Genomic DNA, 22900 nt, shown 5'->3' with positions numbered 1-22900 from the left:
GTATAAAGTGTGAAAAGCAGTCAATAAAGAAAGTTAGAAATACTTTGCATTTTTTTTTTAATCACAGGACCTGAGTTAAGCCAAGAATACAGTAGAAATTTTATCAAGTAGAGATAAGCTCTCAGTAAAGGATAAAAGTGGGCCTAAGTCCCTTCAGTTTCACTGGAAGTAGGACCCTTACATTTTATAATTATATTTTCATACATAAGCTACTGGACAATGAAGTAAATAGCAATCAGTGAAAGAGCCACATATGACCAACTTAGATTTCCTTGAGTAAAGTCTGTCAAGGGTAAAGCTGTGAAAGTTTATAAGAAAAAAGAATGGGGAATTATTTGGAAGACCATTTGAGTTTTGTACACAAGAATTTAATGTTTGCACACTTGATAATATATGTGAATATCATCAAAACTAAGTGAAAAAATAAATTAATGAGGTGAAACACATGCCTGTATTCCTTGTATGAAAATCCGGTAGAAATAGGGTTTGTGAAATAAATAGGGTAATCCTCCTGTAGGATTATGACTTTCACTCTTATCAATTTGTAGATGAACACAGCAGGAGGCTGAGGTAGGAGGATTGCTTGAGACCAGGAGTTCAAGACCAGCTTAGGCAACATAGGGAGAGCCTCACTTCAACAAAAAAAAATAAAGGAGGGGGGTTATTGAATATATTTGGCATGCTTACCAACCATTTATATTTGGGGAAGACACATTTAAAAATATAAAAAGAAGGCTGGGCGCAGTGGCTCACATCTGTAATCCCAGCACTTTGGGAGGCCGAGGCGGGCAGATCACGAGGTCAGAAGTTTGAGACCAGCTTGGCCAATGTGATGAAACCCCGTCTCTACTAAAAATACTGTAAAAGTAGCTGGGCGTGATGGTGGGAGCCTGCAATCCCAGCTACTTGGGAGGCCGAGGCAGGAGAATCACTTGAACCCAGGAGGCAGAGGTTGCAGTGAGCCGAGATCGTGCCACTGCACTCCAGCCTGGGCAACAGAGTGAGACTCTGTCTCAAATAAAAATAAAAATAAAAATAAATAAAATAAATAAAAAAAGAGAAGAACAATGAAGGAAGAAATTAAACAGGATATAAAAAATCAGAAGACAGATAAGATGGAAAACCATAACTTATGTGCAGAAAGGTGGGTGCAAATCGATCAGTCCTGCATAAGAAAACACCATTTGATTGGTTTGAACATGCATCTGGCCAGGCGTGGTGGCTCATGCCTATAATCTCAGCACTTTGGGAGGCCAAGGTGGGTGGATCACCTGAGGTCAGGAGTTCGAGACCAGCCTGGCCAACACAGTGAAACCCCATCTCTACTAAAAATACAAAAATTAGCTGGGTGCAGTGGTATGTGCCTGTAATTCCAGCTACTTGGGAGGCTGAGGCACAAGAATCACTTGAACCCAAGAGGTTCAATGAGCCGAGATTGCTCCACTGCACTCCAGCCTGGGTGACAGAGCCAGACTCTGTCTCAAAAAAAAAAAAAAGTAGATTCAAGCTTCTTAGTGAGCTTTTCTCTCTTGTGTCCTTCAAGTAGCTTTGTCGGACTCCACAGTCCTGGCTCCTCTCTGCCTTCACCTCCAGGTGTTTACTTGCAGACACTTGGTGTTCGTGCAAAGGTCAATCCTGGCTGACACATCTGTTGGCTCCAGCTCGGTTCAGCCACATCTGCCGAGGCTTCCTTGTTCAGTGCCGTATGGCTGTGCCAATTTTCAACCAGTATGGCCAAGAGAGCCACGAGGACCAGTCCTGCCACGGCCATGCGGATCAAGTTCTGCGTCGTGTAATCTTGGTGGATGGAGTCTGGAGACACAATTCAAGGAGATGAATGGTTGGTGGTTGTGTTCCATTCCATCCCAACCCCAGAGCCCTGAAACGGGAGCTCATTTTCCTTTTCGCTTGCCAAAATGGGACTCCCTCAAGCATCCCCTCAATGAGCTCATGCTTCGCCAGCACCACACTGATCAGTCAGCAAGACTGTGTTCACGGGCAAGGAACTGTGCTTCCCAGGGAAGTGCTATAAACTGGGAAGGAGGTGATTATGGGCAGGTTGTGTGTGTTTTTTTTTTTTTTTTTTTTTGAGATGGAGTCTCACTCTGTTGCCCAGGCTGGAGTGCAGTGGCGTGATCTCGGCTCACTGCAACCTCCGCCTCCCTGGTCAAGTGATTCTCCTGCCTCAGCCTCCCAAGTAGCTGGGATTACAGGCGCCCACCACCACCACGCCTGGTTAATTTTTGTATTTTTAGTGGAGATGGGGTTTCACTATGTTGGCCAGGCTGGTCTCGAACTCCCGACCTCAGGTGATCCACCTGCCTCAGCCTCCCAATGTGCTCAGATTACAGGCGTGAGCCATCGTGCCCAACCATGTTTTTTTTTTTTTTCTTGAGGTGGAGTCTCGTTCTGTCACCCAGGCTGGAGTGCAATGGCGTGATCTTGGCTCACTGCAACAGCTGCCTCCTGGGTTCAAGTGATTCTCCTGCCTCAGCCTCCTGAGTAGCTGGGACGACAGGCTCACGCCACCACGCCCGGCCAGGCAGGTTGTGTTTTCTTTTCATTCTCTCCTCACTTGGTGAATTCACTAAATACCTAATCACATCTCTACAACACCAGAACAAGGTGGAATCCTAATAAGAATGTGTGCAGCCTGGCCAGGCGCGGTGGCTCACGCCTGTAATCCCAGCACTTTGGGAGGCCGAGGCAGGTGGATCACCTGAGGTCGGGAGTTCGAGACCAGCCTGGCCAACATGGTGAAACCCTGTCTGTGTGGTCCCAGCTACTCAGGAGGCTGAGGCAGGAGAATTGCTTGAACCTGGGAGGCGAAGGTTGCAGTGAGTCGAGATCGTGCCACTGCACTCCAGCCTTGGCGAAAGAGCAAGACTCTATCCCGGAAAATAAAATGAAATAAATAAAATGAAACAAACTGAGTTAGCCCTTCTGTTCTCCACAGACTAAGTTTTCAATGAACCCTGTCTGGAGAACTCTAGCGAGGAAGTGAAAGCGGAAAGTGTGGTGGGGAAGCCTTTCTCTCTCCACTGTCCTGGAGTGAGAGCCTTTGCCTCTCTTCACTTCACTCTCAGTGCACGTCTTCATATTCCTGCCCGGTGGCAAGGCCCTGGACAGCCAACCCAGACACAGGGCTGGACTGGGCGGTACCTACCTGTGACCACAAGCTCCAAGGCATTACTGGGGAAGGACCACAGGTAGGGGCTCCTGTTGTACCAACCGTAGCACCTGTAGATCCCTGAGACATTGAGGTCCACAGGACCCAAAGAGAAGTTGGCCGGGTGTTCCCCACTTTGGTGCTGTGGCAGAGAAAGTTCTCCCTCCTTGGCCAGTGAAAATCTATCAAATGGGATGTGTGCTGAGCTGCACGTGAGGGAAATATTCTCTCCTGGCATCAACACCAGACCCCGATCTGCAGAGAGGAAGGGTTTGCCATACAAGCCTAAGAGAGAAAAGAGTGAGCTATTAGAAAGACCTTTTCTCCTTTATTCTTTTCTTCTTCTTATTATTGTTATTATTATATATTTTTTTGAGATGGAGTTTCGCTCTTATTGCCCAAGCTGGAGTGCAGTGGCGTGATCTCAGCTCACTGCAACCTCCGTCTCCCGGGTTCAAGCAATTCTCCTGCCTCAGCCTCCCGAGAAACTGGGATTACAGGTGCGTACCACCACGCCCAGCTAATTTTTGTATTTTTAGTAGAGACGGGGTCTCTCCATGTTGGTCAGGCTGGTCTCGAACTCCTGACCTCAGGTGATTTGCCCACCTTGGCCTCCCAAAGTGCTGGGATTACAGGCATGAGCAACTGTGCCCAGCCTATTATTGTTTTTTGAGATGGAGTCTCACTCTGTCACTGAGGCTGCAGTGCAGTGGCACGATCTCAGCTCACTGCAACCTCCACCTCCGAGGTTCAAGTGAGTCTCCTGCCTCAGCCTCCCGAGTAGCTGGGATTACAGGCACCCGCCACCACGCCCAGCTAATTTTTGTATTTTTAGTAAAGATGAGGTTTCTCCATGTTGGTCAGGCTGGTCTTGAATCCCTGACCTCAGGTGATCCACCTGCCTCAGCCTCCCAAAGTGCTGGGATTACAGGCGTGAACCACAGTGCCCAGCCTCTTTTTTCTTTTTTAGAATTTATTTATTTTAGAGAGGGTCTCACTCTGTCGCCCAGGCTGAGGGCAGTGGCATAATCACGGCTCACTGCAGCCTCGACCTCCCAGGCTCAGGTGATCCTACCATCTCAGCCTCTCAAGTAACTGAGACTACAGGTGGGTGCCACCATGCCCAGCTAATTTTTTGATTTTTTGTACAGATGGGGTCTTACTATGTTGCCCAGGCTGGTCTCCTGGGCTTAAGTGATCTGCCCATCTCGGCTTCTCAAAGTGCTGGGATTACAGGCGTGAGCCACGGCGCCCAGCCTCCCAAAGTGCTGGGATTACAGGCACGAGCCACGGTGTCTGGCCACAGTTACTACTTCAGCCAGGCTTTCAACAACAGCCAGCTCAACATCCACAGTCATGTTCCCATGGACAGTTTAAACCTTTGCTATGAGGAGATGAAATGGCACTTTGCTTCTGTGGTCTTGCCTGCAATGACCCATAACTCAGTCTAGTCATGAGCAAAACATCGGACAATTTCCAGTAGTGGGAGTACCCTTGAAAATAATGGACCACTACCCTCAAAACTGACAAGGTCATGGAAAACCAGCAACATCTGAGAAGCTGTGACAGCCAAGACAAACCTAAAGATACATGACACCTGCCGGGCACGGTGGCTCACGCCTGGAATCCCAGCACTTTGGGAGGCCAGGTGCGGTGGCTCATGCCTGTAATCCCAGCATTTTCGGGGGCCGGGCGTGGTGGCTCACGCCAGTAATCCCAGCACTTTGGGAGGCCAGGCGGGCGGATCACGAGGTCAGAAGATTGAGACCATCCTGGCTAACACAGTGAAACCCTATCTCTACTAAAAATACAAAAAATTAGCCAGGCGTGGTGGCGGGCGCCTGTAGTCCCAGCTACTCGGGAGGCTGAGGCAGGAGAATGGCGTGAACCCGGGAGGTTGGAGCTTGCAGTGAGCCGAGATTGTGCCACTGCACTCCAGCCTGGGCAACACAGCGGGACTCCATCTCAAAAAAAAAAAAAAAAAAAAAAATAAAGATACATGACACCTGAATGCAATGTGAAATCTTTTTGTGTGTGTGTGTGTGAGATGGAGTCTCGCCCTGTCGCCCAGCCTGGAGTGCAGTGGTGTGATCTTGGCTCACTGCAACCTCTGCCTCCTGGGTTCAAGCGATTCTCCTGCCTCAGCCTCCCAAGTAGCTGGGATTACAGGCGTGTGCCACCAGGCCTGGCCAATTTTTTCCATTTTTAGTAGAGACGAGGTTTCACTGTGTTGGCCAGGCTGGTCTCGAACTCCTGACCTCAGGTGATCCACCCACCTCAGCCACCCAAAGTGTTGGGATTACAGGCGTGAGCCACCGCGCCCAGCGATTGTTGCATTTTCAGTAGAGACGGGGAATTCACCATGTTGGCCAGGCTGGTCTCGAACTCCTGACCTTGGGTGATCCACCCGCCTCGGCTTCCCTAAGTGTTGGGATTACAGGCGTGAGCCACCACTCCCAGCCGCAATGTGAAATCTTGAATGGGATCCTGGAACAGAGAAAGACTATCAGGTAAAAACTAAGAAAATGTAAATAAACTGTAGACTGTAGCTGGGAATGTGTCGATATTTGTTCATTAATGGTAAGAAATGTGCCATACTAATGTAAGATGTTAACTCTGGGGGAAGTGGGGTGCCAGATGGCTGAGAACTCTCTGAAGCAATCATCAATTTTTTTTTGTTTGTAAATCTAAAACTTCTTGAAAAATACTCTATTAAAAATAAGAAAAAAATCACACCAGGGCTGTGGACCCTGGATGTTTCCTTACCTGTCACTACCAGCTCCAGGGTGTCACTGTACCGGAACCTGTAGTGCCCTATCCTATATTGGCACTGATAGCGCCCTGCCTTGTTTGCGTCCATGTGGTCAATGACGAACTCAGGATCAGTCTCATTCCAAAACTTCAGTCTTCTGCCTATCTCTCGGTACGTGGAGTTTTTTATGATCATCAGCTGGGTCAGGTAAGCTTCACGAATGGCCTGGCACTGGATTTTCACAGATCCATCCAAGGGAATCACAGGACTCGATTTGGCAGATATGAAAGGCATGGGAAAGTCCCCTGGAAGAAAAGAAAGCCCAGACTGAGGTGGCTTGCCATGGGGAAGCCATTCCTTTCCTTCTCTGTGGGAGAAGTAAAAATACATTAGGGTGTGAAGAACCTACCATTCTTTATTTAAAAAAAAATTTAGGCCGGGTGCGGTAGCTCACGCCTGTATTCCCAGCACTTTGGGAGGCCGAGGCGGGTGGATCACAAGGTGACGATATCAAGACCATCCTGGCTAACACGGTGAAACCCCGTGTCTACTGAAAATACAAAAAATTAGCAGGACGTGGTGGCGGGCGCGTGTAGTCCCAGCTACTCGGGAGATTGGGGCAGGAGAATGGCGTGAACCTGGGAGGCAGAGCTTGCAGTGAGCCGAGATCACACCACTGCACTCCAGCCTGGGCAACAGAGTGAGACTTCGTCTCAACAACAACAACAAAAAAATTAAAAAAAGAGAAAAATTTAAATAATTTGTGATGCTGAGGTTTGGAGTACGATTGATCCTGTCACCCAGGTACTGAGCATAGTACCCAATAGGCAGTTTTTCAACCCCCTTTCTTCCCCCCCATCTAGTAGTCTCCAGTGTCTATGGTTGCCATCTTTATTTTTTATTGTTATTATTTTTCGAGACAGAGTCTTGTTTTGTCGCCCAGGCTGCAGTGCAGTGGTGCAATCTCAGCTCCTCCGCCTCCCGGGTTCAAGCAATTCTGCTGCCTCAGCCTTCCGAGTAGCTGGGATTACAGGTGCCCACCACCATGCCTGGATAATTTTTGTATTTTTAGTAGAAACGGGGTTTCACCATGTTGGCCAGGCTGGTCTTGAACTCCTGACTTCAAGTGATCCACCTGCCTCGGCCTCCCAAAGTGCTGGGATTACAAGCGTGAGCCACCGCACCTGGCTGCAACTGGGGTTTTTGCAGAGGCAACACTGAAGCCAGGGGGACCTCCGCAGGCATTGACCCCAGAGCAGTCGGGTGCCGTTACCACAGCCCCCGCAGAGGCCACGGGCATGGTGCGTGGGAGCAGTGAGATGGCTCCACCTGCCGTTACTCCACAAGGCTCAAGGCCAGTTTCCAGCATAGTGGCCCAGCTTCTGCCTGAACTCTGCCCGGGGTCGTGGCTGCATGCTTCCCTGGAAAGCACCCAGATGGTGAAGTGGGTGACTCCACCCACCCCTGCCACTTGCAGCCAGACGGGCCAGGCTTGCTGGGTCTTCCAGCGCTGCAGACCCCCTTCTGCCTGAACTCTGTGGGGTGTGCAGCTCTGTGTTTTTCTTTTCTTTTCTTTTTTTGTTGAGATGAAGTCTCACTCTGTTGCCCAGGCTGGAGTGCAGTGGTGTGATCTTGGCTCACTGCAAGCTCCGCCTCCCGGGTTCACACCATTCTTCTGCCTCAGCCTCCCGAGTAGCTGGGACTACAGGCGCCCGCCACCACGCCTGGCTAATTTTTTTTTGTATTTTTAGTAGAGACGGGGTTTCACCATGTTATCCAGGATGGTCTCAGTCTCCTGACTTCGCAATCTGCCCATCTCGGCCTCCTAAAGTACTGGGATTACACGTGTGAGCCACCATGCCCAGTAGCTCTGTGTTCCCCTGGGAAGCACTGAGATGGCAGATCATGTGGCTCCAATCACCCTTGCTGAGAAGGACTCACCACGTTAGGTGGCGACCAAGCCGTGAGGAGCCCTCATTCTCAGAACGTTCAGAGGGGTGAAACACCTGATTTCATCAGCCTGCAGAGGTGCGGGGTGGTCCTCCCTCCATAGGGCTGGCCGGGGAAGGATACAGCCTGTCTGCCCACCATGCCCTGCCTGAGGGAGCCCCGTGGGCAGAACAATCCTAACAAAGGAAACAGTGGGTGCAGAGCCAGTGACTGTAGGAGGCTCCTCCAAGGCCCAAGAATGGACCAGGCGAGGGAGTCACCCCTCCTCACAACCACAGAGCACTACTGCCGACTTTGTCAAAATACAAGAGTTAGGGGGCCAAGGCAGGCAGATTGCTTGAGCCCAGGAGTTTGAGACCAGCCTGGTAAACATGGTGAAACCCCATCTCTACAAAAAAAAAAAAAAAATTACAAAAATTTTCTCTTTATGGTGCTGCGTGCTTGTAGTCCCAGCTACTCAGGAGGCTGAGGCAGGAGGATCACTTAGCCTGATAGGTAGAGGCTGCAGTGAGCCGAGATTGTGCCACTGTGCTCCAGCCTGGGCGACAGAACAAGACCCTGTGTCAAAAAACGAAACAAAAAACGAAACAAAACTACAAAAGAGCCTTGTGGCTAAGATCCTGTATGCTGGCCAACCCTTTTAAGTGCCACCTACTGGATCACACTTCAAAATACAACACTGAAAAATTTTGCCAGTATACAATGAAGGGAAAAATTCAGCCACAAATAAAGATCCTGTGCAGAGTCCTGGCATCTGAAAACACCCAGAAATGAAGCCAAGCGACTGTACTCAACCGACATCACAGTTAAAGGAACACCAGCCCTCACACAAGAGAAAGAATCAACACCAAGGCCGGGCGCGGTGGCTCACACCTGTAATCCCAGCACTTTGGGAGGCTGAAGTGGGCAGATCACCGGAGGTCAAGAGTTTGAGACCAGCCTGACCAACGTGACAAAACCCGGGCTCTACTAAACATACAAAAATTAGCCGGGCGTGGTGGCACACACCTGTAATCCCAGCTACTCAGGAGGCTGAGACAGGAGAATCGCTTGAACCCGGGAGGTGAAGGTTGCAGCAGTGAGCTGAGATCGTGCCACTGCACTCCAGCCTGGGCGACAGAGTAAGACTCTGCCACAAAAAAGAAAAAAAAAAGAAAAAAAAAAAAGAATCAACACAAGAACTCTGGCAACTCGATAGTTCCCCAGAAATCTGGTTCTTAGCTACATTGAGATGAATGAAACGAGGGTTATAGAATTCAGAATCTGGATGGCCAGGACGCTCTTCGAAATTGAGGAGAAATTTGAAACACAATCCAAGGGGTCCATGGTGGGGACACACTGGCTTTTTGAGTTCCCAGAATTCTTTTTCATGTGTGGGGGCCCGGTCATTATGCCACAGCCATCAGACAGAGAGGAGTCCAGTCTCTCTTCCCCGTGAGCTCCCACCCCCACTTTACCAGGCAGAGCCCCCAGCTCGGGAGTGCAGAGCAGCTGCCCCGCCCTCAGCACACTCACTGGTGGTGGCTCGTGTTTCCCTGGGGAGTGGCTCCCAGAGGCAACTGACAGCCCCTCTGCCACTGCCATGGCAAGGGTTCTGCCTCTGCTGCCCGTGATCTGGGGAAGAAGCAAGGAGCCTGGGGCCTTCATTCATGCTTCAATTTATTTATTTATTTATTTATTTATTTATTTATTTATTTATTTATTTATTTGAGACGGAGTCTCGCTCTGTCGCCCACGCTGCAGTGCAGTGGCCCGATCTCGGCTCACTGCAAGCTGCGCCTCCCGGGTTCACACCATTCTCCTGCCTCAGCCTCATCCTCCTCCCGAGTAGCTGGGACTACAGGCGCCCGCCACCACGCCCGGCTCATTTTTTGTGTTTTCAGTAGAGACGGGGTTTCACCAGATTAGCCAGGATGGTCTCGATCTCCCGACCTCGTGATCCGCCCGCCTCGGCCTCCCAAAGTGCTGGGATTCCGGGCGTGAGTCCACCGCGCCCGGCCTTCATTCATGCTTCCAGCACACCGCAGTCGCCATACGGAGAGGAGCTCAGTCTCCTCTCCCTGTGAGCCCTCAACCCCCTGCTCTTCAACAAGCCCCAGCTTGATTCCGCGGCACAACAGCCCCACCCTCTGGCGGAGCGTTCCCAGCAGCTGTGAGTCTGCGTTTCTCTGTGGCGGAGCTCCCAGAGGCAACGGAAGGTCACTCTGCCGCTGCCACTGCGGTGGTACTGGCCTTGCTGCCCTCAGACTGGGGAAGGAGCAAAGACTCTGAGTGCTTCAACCACACCTCCGGCAAACTGCCCTAAGGAGAAGAGGCCAGTCTGTCACCCCTGTGACCCACCTGTCCCCCCTGCTCATCACTAGGCAGGGCCCCTAGCTTGGACCCACAGTGCAGTCGCCTCACTCTTGGCTCATCGCACTGATAGTGGCTCCACATCTCTCTGGGGTGGAGTTCCAAGGGACAAGTGAAAGGCCGTCTGCCACAACCGCTGCTAAGGTCCCTTCCCCTGCTGCCCCCAAGCCACGGAGGGAACATAAAGTCTGAGCTCACCCCAGAGCTGTGATGTGCAGCCTGGGAGTGCCGAGCCCAGATCTGCAGCCAGCACTTGGGTGGGAGAGGAGCCCGCACTTTCAGAGCGTGAGAGGGAGCACAGCGGCAATCATGAGGAATGACCTACTGGCCGTTGTGCTGAAGCATCATTTACCGGATTGCAGCCCAAACTTCAACACCAAAAATGCTCGCTAATATACCTCCCTGTGAAACCAAGGACAAGAATTTAGCTATAAATAAAGACCCTGTGCGAAGCCCCAGCCCTCTGAAACCATCCAGAAAAGAAGTCTACTGACTGTGCTCAAATTACATCACGGTTAAAAGAAAAAAGAAAAAAATTCAAATTGCAGCACACTCAAAGGAACATTAGCCCACATGGATGAGAAAGAACTGAGCAAGAACTCCATCAACTCAAAAAGCAACAGTGTCTTCCTTCCTCCAAATTACCACACAAGCTTCCCAGCAAGGGCTCTTTACCTGGCTGAAATGACAGAAATAGAATTCAGAATATGGATAGAAATTAAGGTCATCAAGATTCAGGAGAAAGTTGAAACCCAATGCAAGGAACCTAAAGATTACAATAAAATGACAGAGGGGCTAATCTATGAGATGGTCATTTTGAAAGAACCAAACGGATCTGATGGAGCTGAAAAACACACTACGAGATTTCATAATGCGATCACAAGTATTAATGGCAAAATAAAGCAAAATAAGGAAAGAATCTCAGAGCATGAATACTGGCTCTCTGAACTAATTCAGTCAGACAAAAATGAAGAAAAAGAATAAAAATTAATGAACAAAACCTCTAAGAAATATGGGATCATGAAAAGAGACCAAATAGCCCATTGGCATCCCCGAAAGAGATGGGGAGAAAGCAAGGAACATGGAAAACATATTTCAGTGTATTGTTCATGAAAACTTCCCCAACGTCACTAGAGAGGCCAAGAATCAAATGCAGGAAACAGAGAACCCCTGCAAAATACTACACAAGAAGAGCATCCCCAAGACACAAAATCATCAGATTCTTCAAGGTAGAAATGAAAGAAAGAAATGTCGGCCGGGCGCGGTGGCTCACGCCTGTAATCCCAGCACTTTGGGAGACCAAGGCGGGCGGATCACGAGGTCAGGAGATTGAGACCATCCTGGCTAACATGGTGAAACCCCATCTCTACTAAAAAAATATAAAAAATTAGCTGGGCGTGGTGGTGGGCACCTGTAGTCCCAGCTACTGGGGAGGCTGAGGCAGGAGAATGGCGTGAATCCGGGAGGCGGAGCTTGCAGTGAGCCGAGATCACGCCATTGCACTCCAGCCTGGCAGCCTGGGCAACAGAGCAAGACTCAGTCTCAAAAAAAAAAAAAAAAATGTGAAAAGGCAGCAAAAAAGAAGGGGCAGGTCACCTACAAAGGGAATGCCATCGAGCTAACAGCAGACCTTTCAGCAGAAACTCTACAATCCAGAAGAGATTGGGGGCCTATATTTAATGTTCTTATGAAAAGAATTTCCAACCAAGAATCTCATTCCCAGCCAAACTAAGTTTCATAAGTGAAGGAGAAATAAGATCCTTTACAGACAAGCAAATGCTGAGGGAATTTATTACCATCAGGCCTGCCTTACAAGAGGTCCTAAGAGGAACGCTAAATATGGAAAGAAAAGACCATCACCAGCCAATAGAAAACACACTTACGTACATAAACCAGTGACACTATAAAACAACCACACAAACAAGTCTGCATAATAACCAAACCAGCTAACAACATGATGACAGGAAAAAATCTGCACATGTAAATGCTAACTTTGAATGTAAATGGACTAATTGTCCTAATTAAAATGCAGAGAGTGGCAAGTTGGATAAAGAAGCAAGAGGCCAGGTGCAGTGGCTCACGCCTGTAACCCTGGCACTTTGGGAGGCTGAGGTGGGTGGATCATTTGAGGTCAGGAGTTCGACATTAGCCTGGCCAATGTGATGAAATCCCATCTCTAATAAAAAAAAAAAATAGCTGGGCGTGGTGGTACACACCTGTAATCCCAGCTATTTGGGAGGCTGAGGCAGGAGAATCATTTGAACCTGGGAGGCAGAAGTTGCAGTGAGTCAAGATCATACCACTGCACTCCAGCCTGGGTGACAGAGTGAGACTCCATCTCAAAAAAAAAAAAAAAAAAAAAAGCAAGACTCAACATTATGCTGCCTATAAGAAACCCATCTCATATGCAATGACATCCATAGGCTCAAAGTAAAGAAATGGAGAAAAATCTACCAAGCAAATGGAAAGCCAAAAAAAAAAAAAAATGCAGGAGCTGCTATTAAAATTTCAGACAAAACAGACTTTATACCAACAAAGATCAAAAAAGGCAAAGAAGGGCATTAAATCATGGTAAAGGGTTCAATTCAACATGAAGACCATAGCAGGACAGTGGCCACGGAAGTCGGAATCTGCTAAGGAGTGTGTAATAGCCCAACTGCTGAATCAAAAAGAAAAAGAAAAAAAAAATTAAAAAAAGAGCATGAAGACCTAACTATCCTAAATATATATGCACCTAACATGGAAGCACCCGGATTCATAAAGCGTGTTCTGAGAGACCAACGAAGAGACTTAGACAACCACACAATAATAGGGGGAGACTTTAACATCCCGCCGACAGTATTAGATCATTGAGGCAAACAGAGATATTCAGGACCTGAACTCAGCAGTGGATCAAATGGACCTGACAGACATCTACAGAACTCTCCACCCCCAAAACAACAGAATCTACATTGTTTTCATTGCCTCATGGCACATACTCTAAAGTCAATCATACAATCAGACATACAGCAATCCTTAGCAGGCTGGGCACGGTGGCTCACACCTGTAATCCCAGCACTTTGGGAAGCCAAGGCTGGCGGATCATGAGGTCAGGAGATCGAGACCATCCTGGCTAACGCAGTGAAACCCCGTCTTTACTAAAAATACAAAAAAAATTAGCCGGGCGGGGTGGCGGGCACCTGTAGTCTCAGCTACTCAGGAGGCTGAGGCAGGAGAATGGTGTGAACCTGGGAGGCGGAGCTTGCAGTGAGCCTAGATTGCGCCACTGCACTCCAGCCTGGGCGACAGAGCAAGACTCCATTTCAAAAAAAAAAAAAACAATCCTTAGCAAATCCAGAAAAGCGAAATCAGAGCACAGTGGAATAAAAATAGGAATAAATACTAAGAAAACCACTCAAAACTGTACAATGCATGGAAATTAAGCAGTCTGTTCTGGAATTTTTGGGTAAATATAGCAGAATCTCTGGGACACAGCTAAGGCAGTGTTAAGGGGGAAGTTTATAGCACTAAACTCCCACTTCAAAAAGCTAGAAAAAGTTCAAATTAACAACCTAACATCATAACAAGAGGAACTAAGAGAACCAAGAGGAAATCAACCCCAAAGCTCATAGGAAACAAGAAATAACCAAAATCAGAGCTGAGCTGAAGGAGATTGAGACACGAAAAAGCATTCAGAAGATCAGCAAATCGAGGAGTAGAATTTTTGAAAAAATTAGTAAGACAGATGACTAGTTAGACTAATAAAGAAGAAAAGAGAGATGATCCGGATAAACACAATTAGAAACAACAAAGGGTATATTACCACTCACCCCACAGAAATACAATCATCAGAGAATATTATGAACACCTCTATGCACACAAACTAGAAAATCCAGAATAAATGGAGAAATTCCTGGACACATACACCCTCCTGAGATCAAACCAAGAATAAATTGAATACATGAACAGACCAATAATGAGCTCCAAAATTGAATCAGTAATAAAAATCCTACAGACCAGAAAAAGCCCAGTACCAGACAGACTCACAGCTGAATCCCATCTGATATATAAAGAAGAGCTGGTACTATACCTACTGAAACGTTCCAAAAATATTCAGGAGGAGGAATGCCTCCCCAGCTCATTCTATGAGACCAGCATCATCTTGATGCAAAAACATGGCAGAGACACAACAAAACCAGAAAACTTCAGGACAATATCCTTGTTGAACATAAATGCAAAAATCCTCAACAAAATACTAGCAAACTATCCAGCAGCACATCAGAAAGCTAATCCACCACCATCAGGTAGGCTTTATTTCTGGGATGCAAGGTTGATTCGATATAGGAGTCTCGCTCTGTTGCCCAGGCTGGAGTGTAGTGGCGTGAACTTGGCTCACTGCAAGCTCCGCCTCCTGGATTCACGCCATTCTCCTGCCTGAGCCTCCCGAGCAGCTGGGACTACAGGTGCCCACCACCACGCCTGGCTAATTTTTTTGTGTTTTTTAGTATAGACGAGGTTTCACCGTGTTAGCCAGGATGGTGTCGATCTCCTGACCTCATGATCCACAAGCCTTGGCTTCCCAAAGTGCTGGGATTACAGGCATGAGCCACAGTGCCCGGCCAATATACACAAATCTTAAATATGATTCATCACATAAATAGAACAACCCTCCCCACACACATAATCCTCTCAATAGAGCTTTTGATAAAATTCAACATCCCTTTATGCTAAAAAACCTCGACAAACTAGGCATTGAAGAAACATATTTCAAAATAATAAGAATGATGTATGACAAACTCACAGTCAACATCATATTGAATGGGCAAAAGCTGGAAGTATTCCCCTTGAAAACTGGCAAAAGACATGGATGCCGTCTCTCACTACTTCTGTTCAACATAGTACTGGAGGTCCTAGCTAGAGCAATCAGGCAAGAGAGAAATAAAAGGCATCCAAATAGGAAGAAAGGAAGTCAAACTATCCCTGTTTGCAGGTGATATGATTCTATACCTAGAAAACCACAGTCTCTGCCCAAACACTTCTTAATCTGATAAACAACTTTAGCAAAGTTCCAGGATACAAAATCAATATATAAAAATCAGTAGCATTCCTATACACCAAAAACATCTAAGCTGAGAGCCAAATCAAGAATAGAATCCATTCACAATTACTGCAAAAAGAATAAAATACCTGGGAATACAGCTAACCAGGGAGGTGAAAGATCTCTGCAAGGAGAACTACAAAACACTGGTCAAAGAAATCATAGATGACACAAACAAATGGAAAAACATTCCATGCTCATGGATAGGAAGAATGAGTATTGTTCAACACACAAATAATTCAGGCTTTAGAAGGAGCTGGAAGAGAGAAGACATGGATGGACGTGGGGCTCACACCCATTAGGAGGCTAAGGCAGTAGTAGTTGGGGTGGCAGAATATTCAGTAGTACACTAAGACTGCCTCATGCTTAGTACTGCAGTAGTACTACAGAATGCTAGAGTGTTCAGTAGGGTTAGACTATGGCAGCATCCTTTTAAATGAAGTGACGGGAGGAAGTGGGTTGCTAAAACAAAATAGAATCAGCATAAGGAAGGATATTGGGCAGATGACTCCTGACTTCCTCATTCTTGCAGTTTGAGCATTCAGTAAATTACAGATCCTTCATGGACAGTCTAACACAGGCAAGGACTAACTATAAATCCAGGCCTGAGCATTAATGAGTCTGAAGGGTTTGGAGATAACAAAGTGAGATAGAAATTATGCAAGAGAAGCACAGCAGAAACAACTAGAATGGGGATTAAAATAAGAATGGTGCTTCAGGCTATTCTTCAATTTCTTTATCCTAGAGCTCCCAAGAGGGTCTAAAGGGGCTGGGAGAGATTTACAGGACACTTACCTTCCTGTGCCTGAATCCTCTGGCCCAGACAGAGCACTGGAAGAGAGAGATTTATGAAAAATCAAGCTTCCATTTCCAACCTTTACGACAAATCACCCTCTGTAATGACAGACCAGAAAAAGACCAGTACCAGATGGATTCACAGCTCAATCCCACCAGATATATAAAGAAGAGCTGGCATTTTTTTTTTTTTTTGAGACAGAGTCTCGCTGTGTCGCCCAAGCTGGAGTGCAGTGGCATGATCTTGGCTCACTGCAAGCTCTGCCTCCCAGGTTCATGCCATTCTCCTGCCTCAGCCGCACGAGTAGCTGGGACTACAGGCGCCCGCCACCACGCCTGGCTAATTTTTTTGTATTTTTAGTAGAGACAGGGTTTCACCATGTTGGCCAGGATGGTTTTGATCTCCTGACCTTGTGATCCGCCTGCCTTGGCCTCCCAAAGTGCTGGGATTGCAGGTGTGAGCCACTGCGCCCGGCCAAGAAGAGCTAGTATTATTCCTACTGAAACTATTGAAAAAAATCCTGGAGGAGGGACTCCTCCCCAACTCATTCTATGAGGCCAACATTATCCTGATAACAAAATGTGGCAGAGATACAACAAAAACAGAAAACTTCTGGATAATATCTTTGTTGAACATAAATGCAAAAATCTTCAACAAAATACTAGTAACCATATTTCTATATGGGGTTCTATCATATGTTTTCCTTCCACAACAATCACAGTTTTGAGGTTCATTCTTTATTTTTACCTTTCAGATTCCAGCCTCTAAGTCTCTCCTTGATAAGAACCTTGGGACCATCATGAATCCCAGATAACACACTATAGGTTTAATACAAATATTAAACCTTGAGCCCCACAAGCTAGCTTGGGCTTGGGTAGAGACAAAGTTATAGATACATTGACAAAGACGGCCTTTCCACTAAGGAGATCAGAATCTCCTTGGCAGCCACTAAAATCTCCTAGTCACACTGTTAAGAGACACCCTGATTATTTTGGGATTTCTCTATCTTCCCCTCTAACCCACTTTTACTCTGAAACTCACCAAGACACAGGAGGGTGGTCTGTTTGGGGTCCATCGTGCTGACACGGCCTCAGCCCCGTTGCTCTCCTTTCAATGCACATTAGCAGGATGACAGATATTCTTACGACAATAAGCTCCGCAGGAAGTATGAGGACAGAGCCCCTCGTCAGGGAATTTCCACATCTATTGCCTCACAACAAAGTGGAACAGTTCGTTGCCGAATAACTTAGTTCCAGGTTGCTCTTGGGTGGAGCCCAAGAGAAGACATATATATGTATATTTTTTTAAATAGAGATGGGGTCTTTCTATGTTGGCCAGGGTAGTCTCTAACTTCTGGCATCAAGAAATCCTCCTGCCTAAGACCTATATTTCTATTTATGTTTCAGATGAGAAACGAATGAGAAGTGAATTTTCATTAAGCCAGTGTCTAATGGTGTTCAAATTCATCTTTGAACCAGATGCTACATCCAAATAGACGGGCTTGGGACAGAATATAAGGTGGTGGATACCATACAGGCAGACATTGCCTTCACTGGGCCATTAGTCAAAAGCTCTGTGGCTTTGTCTGTTCTGAACCTATGTTTCATCTCTGAGATTCATGGTCTGAGTATATTTACTTGGACTTGACCAGGCATGCAGTATACCCTTATCCTGGAGATGATCTCAATGCCAGAGTGTGGAGGCATTTTCTCTGGCACTATTTGTCATCTCTAAAGAAAGAATCTACTATTTTATTATACTTTTTTGTTTATTTGTATAAATTTAAGGAGCGCAAGTGAAATTTTATTACGTGGATATTTTGTGTAGTGGTGAAGTCTGGGCTTTTAATATAATTATCCTCAAATAATGTACATTGTTGCTCATTGAGTATTTTTTTAACTTTTATTTTAGGTTCAAGGGTACATGGGAAGGTTTGTTATACAGGTAAACTTGTGTCATGGGGGTTTGTTGTACAGATTATTTCATCACCTAGGTAATAAGCTTGGTACCTAATAGTTACTTTGCCTGCTCCTTTCCCGCCTCCCACCCTCCACCCTAAAGGAGACCCCATTGTCTGTTTTTCCCTTTTTTGTGTTCATGAGTTCTATTATTTAGCTTCCACTTATAAGTGAGAACCTGCTGTATTTGGTGTTCTGTTCTTGTATAGTTTGCTAAGGATAATGGCCTCCAGCTCCATCCATGTTTCCACAAAACATATGAACTCATTCTTTTTTTATGGCTTCAAATTAATTTTATTTTTATCTTATTATTTATGTTATTTTGATTGTAGACTCCTGGCTATCACGAATTCTTCAGGTATGGAGAGTGAAATATTCCTAATTAAACCTTCTACTATTTTATTTTATTTTATTTATTCTTTTTTTTTTTTTGAGACGGAGTCTTGCTCTGTCGCCCAGGCTGGAGTGCAGTGGCGTGATCTCAGCTCACTGCAAGCTCCACTTCCTGGGTTCATGCTATTCTCCTGCCTCAGCCTCCCGAGTAGCTGGGACTACAGGCATCCGCCACCACGCCCGGCTAATTTTTTTTGTATTTTCAGTAGAAACGGGGTTTCACCGTGTTAGCCAGGATGGTCTCGATCTCCTGACCTCGTGATCCACCCACTTCGGTCCCCCAAAGTGCTGGGATTACAGGCGTGAGCCACCGCGCCCCACTTTATTTTCATTTTAATACATCATAACTTAGCCCTTCCAACGCCGAAGTATTTTGAAGTCCTGAGCTTGTCCCATATTTCAGAAAGCCGATCAGCTTCCATGTTGACTGTTTCATTTGTGCAAATTTAAGTGACCTTTTGTTTTGCCACATTTTGTTAATTTCCACATACATATTTACGTTCGGGAAATTTGGAAATACTACGTTCTGGAAATTTGGTGTTGATGATTGCATGAAATTGACCGCATTCTAATTTTCTTTTTTTGTTGTTTTGTTACTTATGCCTTATTTATTCATTCCTTTGTTCTCACTTGAATGGGACTTTGGGTGAAAGACAAATAATGGCTGTACTCTTAGTTGAGTATTTAAAATGCAGAGATTGTAAAGGCAGGATGACCTAATTAAAAATACTATTGTTGGCTGGGTGCAGTAGCTCATGCCTGTAATCCCAGCACTTTGGGAGGCCAAGGCAGGTGAATCACTTGAGTTCAGGAATTTAAGACCAGCCTGGTCAATGTGGTGAAACCCAGTCTCTACTAAAAATATAAAAAATTACTTGGGTGTGGTGGCGGGTGCCTGTAATTCCAGCTACTCGGAAGGCTGAGGCAGGAGAGCCACTTGAACCCAGGAGGCAGAGGTTGCAGTGAGCCAAGATCACTGCACTCCAGCCTGGGCAACACAGAGCGAGACTGTGTCTCAAAAAAACAAAAGCTATTGTTATGGTTTACAAATGACGTGGCTTTCTATTGGGAGAGAGATACTTACTAATTGTTGAATTTCAGGAACTTCAGTGGCCAATATTTACTAATGGGCTGGAACAGATTTTGTCAACTTACCACAACATTTGGTGTGGTTTTGTTCTTTTGTTTCCTCCTTTTGTGGAACAGGAATGGTAACGTAGCCATGGGGTGCTGAGATATTTGGTTAAACATTATTCTGTGTGTGTCTGTGGGGGTGTTGCTGAATGAGATTATCAATGGAATTAGTGTAATTTATAAAGCAGATTGCTCTCCCTAATGTGAGTCGGCCTCATTCAATCAGGTGGGACCTGAATAGAACAAAACATTGAACTGGTAATGTAAGATGAAGTTCCTTTTGCCTGGACATCAGTCTTTTCTGGCTCTTGAACTCTCACTAAAACATTGACTCTTTAGATGTTAAGCCTGCCAGCTTTTTTTGTTTGTTTGTTTTTTTGAGATAGAGTCTCACTCTGTCACCCAGGCTGGAGTGCTGTGGCATGATCTCGGCTCACTGCAACCTTCACCTCTTGGGTTCAAGCAATTCTCGTACCTCAGCCTCTGAGTAGCTGGGATTACAAGCGAATGCCACTATGCCCGGCTAATTTTTGTATTTTTAGTAAAGATGGGGTTTCACCATGTTGGCCGGGCTGGTCTTGAACTCTGACCTCAGGTGATCTGCCTGCCTTGGTCTCCCAAAGTGTTGGGATTACAGGCGTGAGCCATCATGCCCGGCATGAGCCTGCTAGCTTTTGGACTGTTACGTATACCACTAACTCTACTGGTTCTCAGACTTTTGCACGTAGACTGGAACTACACGTGGACTCCCCTGGGTCTCCAGCTTGCAGATGGCAGATCATGGGACCTGTCAGTCTACATAGTTGCATAAGCCAATATATAAATACCCTATCTGTGTATCAATCATTATATATCTGTCATTATCCAACTATATGTCTATCATTATTTGTGATATCATTATATATCTATCATTATTTGTCTATCAATCATTATCTATATATCTATCATTATTAGTGTTGATTATTTTTTTTTCTGGAGAACCCTGACTACTATAGCTTCCATGTTCCTGTCTCAACTGTCACCAGTCCCCTTAGCACAGGGCCTATCATAGCCATTCTACGGCCCAAGGAATTACAAGCCACATAACTACAGGAGTCACAGTGACCCAAGGATTTAGACGGAGACACGGAAGAATTGAGGCATCTATTGGTCTCTGCATATTTTGGGATTTGGGATTTCCCAGCAGGGAAATTTGCCTTGAATCTGTCTAACTGGTCACTAAGAGTTGATTGGTAGGTTCCATTCTCCGTGCACAGCATAAACCCTAATAAGCCCAAACTGACTGGCAGTGGAGACTCTCAACCCTCAATGGGACCAAACTGTGACTGGCAGTGGAGACTCTCAACCCTCAATGGGACCAAACTGTGACTGGCAGTGGGGACCTTCAACCCTCAGTGGGACCGAACTGTGACTGGCAGTGGGGACCTTCAACTCTCAGTGGGACTTTACAGCACTCAGCTGCACCTGTGTGGAGAATTTGTCTCAAACACCTAAGAAGGAAGGAGGCCTTTGTTTCGAGGAAGAAGAAGGGGAGCTGCTTCTCTATCCACTGACCTCAGAGGTACCGGAGAGTGTCCAGTGAGGGCCTTAACTCTCTGCAGTATTTTTTTTTTTTTTGAGATGGAGTCTCACCCTGTCGCCCAGGCTGGAGTGCAATGGCAGGATCTCGGCTCACTGCAACCTCTGCCTCCCCAGTTCAAACGATTCTCCTGTCTCAGCCTCCTGAGTATCTCAGATTTACAGGCACCTGCCACCATGCCCAGCTATTTTTTGTATTTTTAGTAGAGACAGAGTTTCACCATGTTGGCCAGGCTGATCTCGAACTCCTGACCTCGTGATCTGCCCACCTCCGCCTCCCAAAGTGCTGGGATTATAGGCGTGAGCCACTGCACCCAGCCACTCTCTGCAGTTTTAAAGGCCATTTCCATGAATTAGAGTATACTTAGGCACTGAGGTAAGCATGGCACAGCTTTCTGAAAATAAAGTTGAAACTTAGAGGTTTCTTTTAGCTTTATTGAGATATGATTGACAAATGGAAATTGTATATATTTAAGGTGTATTACACTTGATGTTTTGATGTATGTATACATGGTGACATGATCATCATAGTCAAGCTAGTTATATCCATCATCTCGCAGGGTTATTGTTTTTTTTTTTTTTTTTTTTTTGAGAGGAAGTCTTACTCTGTCCCCCAGGCTAGAGTGCAGTGGTGCCATCTTGGCTCACTGCAACCTCCGCTCCCAGGTTCCAGCAATTCTCGTGCCTCAGCCTCCTGAGTAGCTGGGATTACAGGCTTGTGTCACCACGCCTGGCTAATGTTTGCATTTTTAGTAGAGACAGGGTTTCACCATGTTGGCCATGCTGGTCTTGAACTCCTGACCTCAAGTGATCTGCCCGTCTTGGCCTCCCAAAGTGCTGGGATTACAGGCGTGAGCCACCGCGCCCGGCCTATGGTTTCTTTTTCTTTCTTTCTTTTTTTTTTTTTTGTGGTGAGGACCCTTAAGATCTACTCTCCCAGCCGGGCGTGGTGGCTCATGCCTGTAATCCCAGTACTTTGGGAGGCCGAGGCAGGCGGATCACGAGGTCAGGAGATCGAGACCATCCTGGCTAACACAGTGAAACCCCGTCTCTACTAAAAATACAAAAAATTAGCAGGGCGTGGTGGCGGGCGCCTGTAGTCCCAGCTACTCGGGAGGCTGAGGCAGGAGAATGGCGTGAACCCAGGAGGCGGAGCTTGCGGTGAGCCGAGATCGCGCCACTGCACTCCAGCCTGGGTGACAGAGCAAGACTCCAGCTCAAAAAAAAAAAAAAAAAAAAAAAAAATCTACTCTCCCATGCTTGCCTCGGCAGCACATATACTAAAATTGGAACGATACAGAGAAAACTAGCATGGCCCCTGCGCAAGAATGACACGCAAATTCGTGAAGTGTTCCATATTTAAAAAAAAAAATCTACTTTCCTGGTAAATTTCAAGTATAGAGTACAGTATTGTCAACCATAGTGGCAAAGCTGTACAAGAGATCTTCAGACCCATTCCTCCTGAATACCTGATAGTTTGTATCCTTTGATCAACATCTCCCAATTCCCTCCCCCACACTGTCCCTGTAGTTCTAGTGAGTTTCCCAGACTCTGATGTCTCAATTTCATTCAGTCACTTTCCTCCAGATACATCTACCCATTCCTACTGCATCTTAGTATCCTGAGCCTTGGGGGCAGTTTCTGTGCCAAGTGGAAATGTGGAAATGAGATATTACGAAGAAAAATCTTTGCCCACCTAGACAGGGATCTGATGTTTTCCAAGATGACACATGATTACATG

The 22900-nt window shown here is 46.4% G+C and overlaps 1 protein-coding gene and 1 pseudogene across 12 annotated transcripts, besides 2 other annotated features; one reads left to right on the top strand and one right to left on the bottom strand.

Moving 5' to 3' along the window:
- Positions 1-40: 40 nt before the first annotated feature.
- Positions 41-17226, bottom strand: FCAR (Fc alpha receptor). 12 transcript variants are annotated; one of them, XM_047438406.1, is made up of 6 exons: positions 17138-17226; positions 16096-16194; positions 10422-10625; positions 5936-6226; positions 3167-3454; positions 41-1812 (listed from the first exon to the last, which is right to left on the bottom strand). In XM_047438406.1, the coding sequence occupies exons 4-6, from the start codon at positions 6213-6215 to the stop codon at positions 1598-1600; spliced, it is 783 nt and encodes a 260-aa protein (XP_047294362.1). In that variant the 5' UTR covers positions 6216-6226; positions 10422-10625; positions 16096-16194; positions 17138-17226; the 3' UTR covers positions 41-1597. The 12 variants fall into 12 exon arrangements, with proteins under 12 accessions (XP_047294362.1, XP_047294363.1, XP_011524927.1 ...); XM_047438407.1 differs by having other exon boundaries at positions 16096-16131; XM_011526625.4 differs by lacking the exon at positions 10422-10625.
- Positions 9894-10188: a silencer, noted in NCBI's record as "tiled region #15416; K562 Repressive DNase unmatched - State 4:PromP". NCBI's record gives its function as "represses a minimal TATA promoter and a strong SV40 promoter by Sharpr-MPRA in K562 cells {active_cell/tissue: K562}" and the evidence as "EXISTENCE:reporter gene assay evidence [ECO:0000049][PMID:27701403]".
- Positions 15722-15922: a silencer, noted in NCBI's record as "peak3560 fragment used in MPRA reporter construct". NCBI's record gives its function as "represses an SCP1 promoter by STARR-seq MPRAs in K562 erythroleukemia cells {active_cell/tissue: K562}" and the evidence as "EXISTENCE:reporter gene assay evidence [ECO:0000049][PMID:32103011]".
- On the top strand, positions 22417-22520 carry RNU6-222P (RNA, U6 small nuclear 222, pseudogene; annotated as a pseudogene).

The sequence above is a fragment of the Homo sapiens genome, chromosome 19 (genome assembly GCF_000001405.40).
Source record: "Homo sapiens chromosome 19, GRCh38.p14 Primary Assembly".
Classification (NCBI taxonomy): domain Eukaryota; kingdom Metazoa; phylum Chordata; class Mammalia; order Primates; family Hominidae; genus Homo; species Homo sapiens.
Note: the sequence above shows the minus strand (reverse complement) of the source record. Positions and strands in the feature narration are given on the sequence as shown.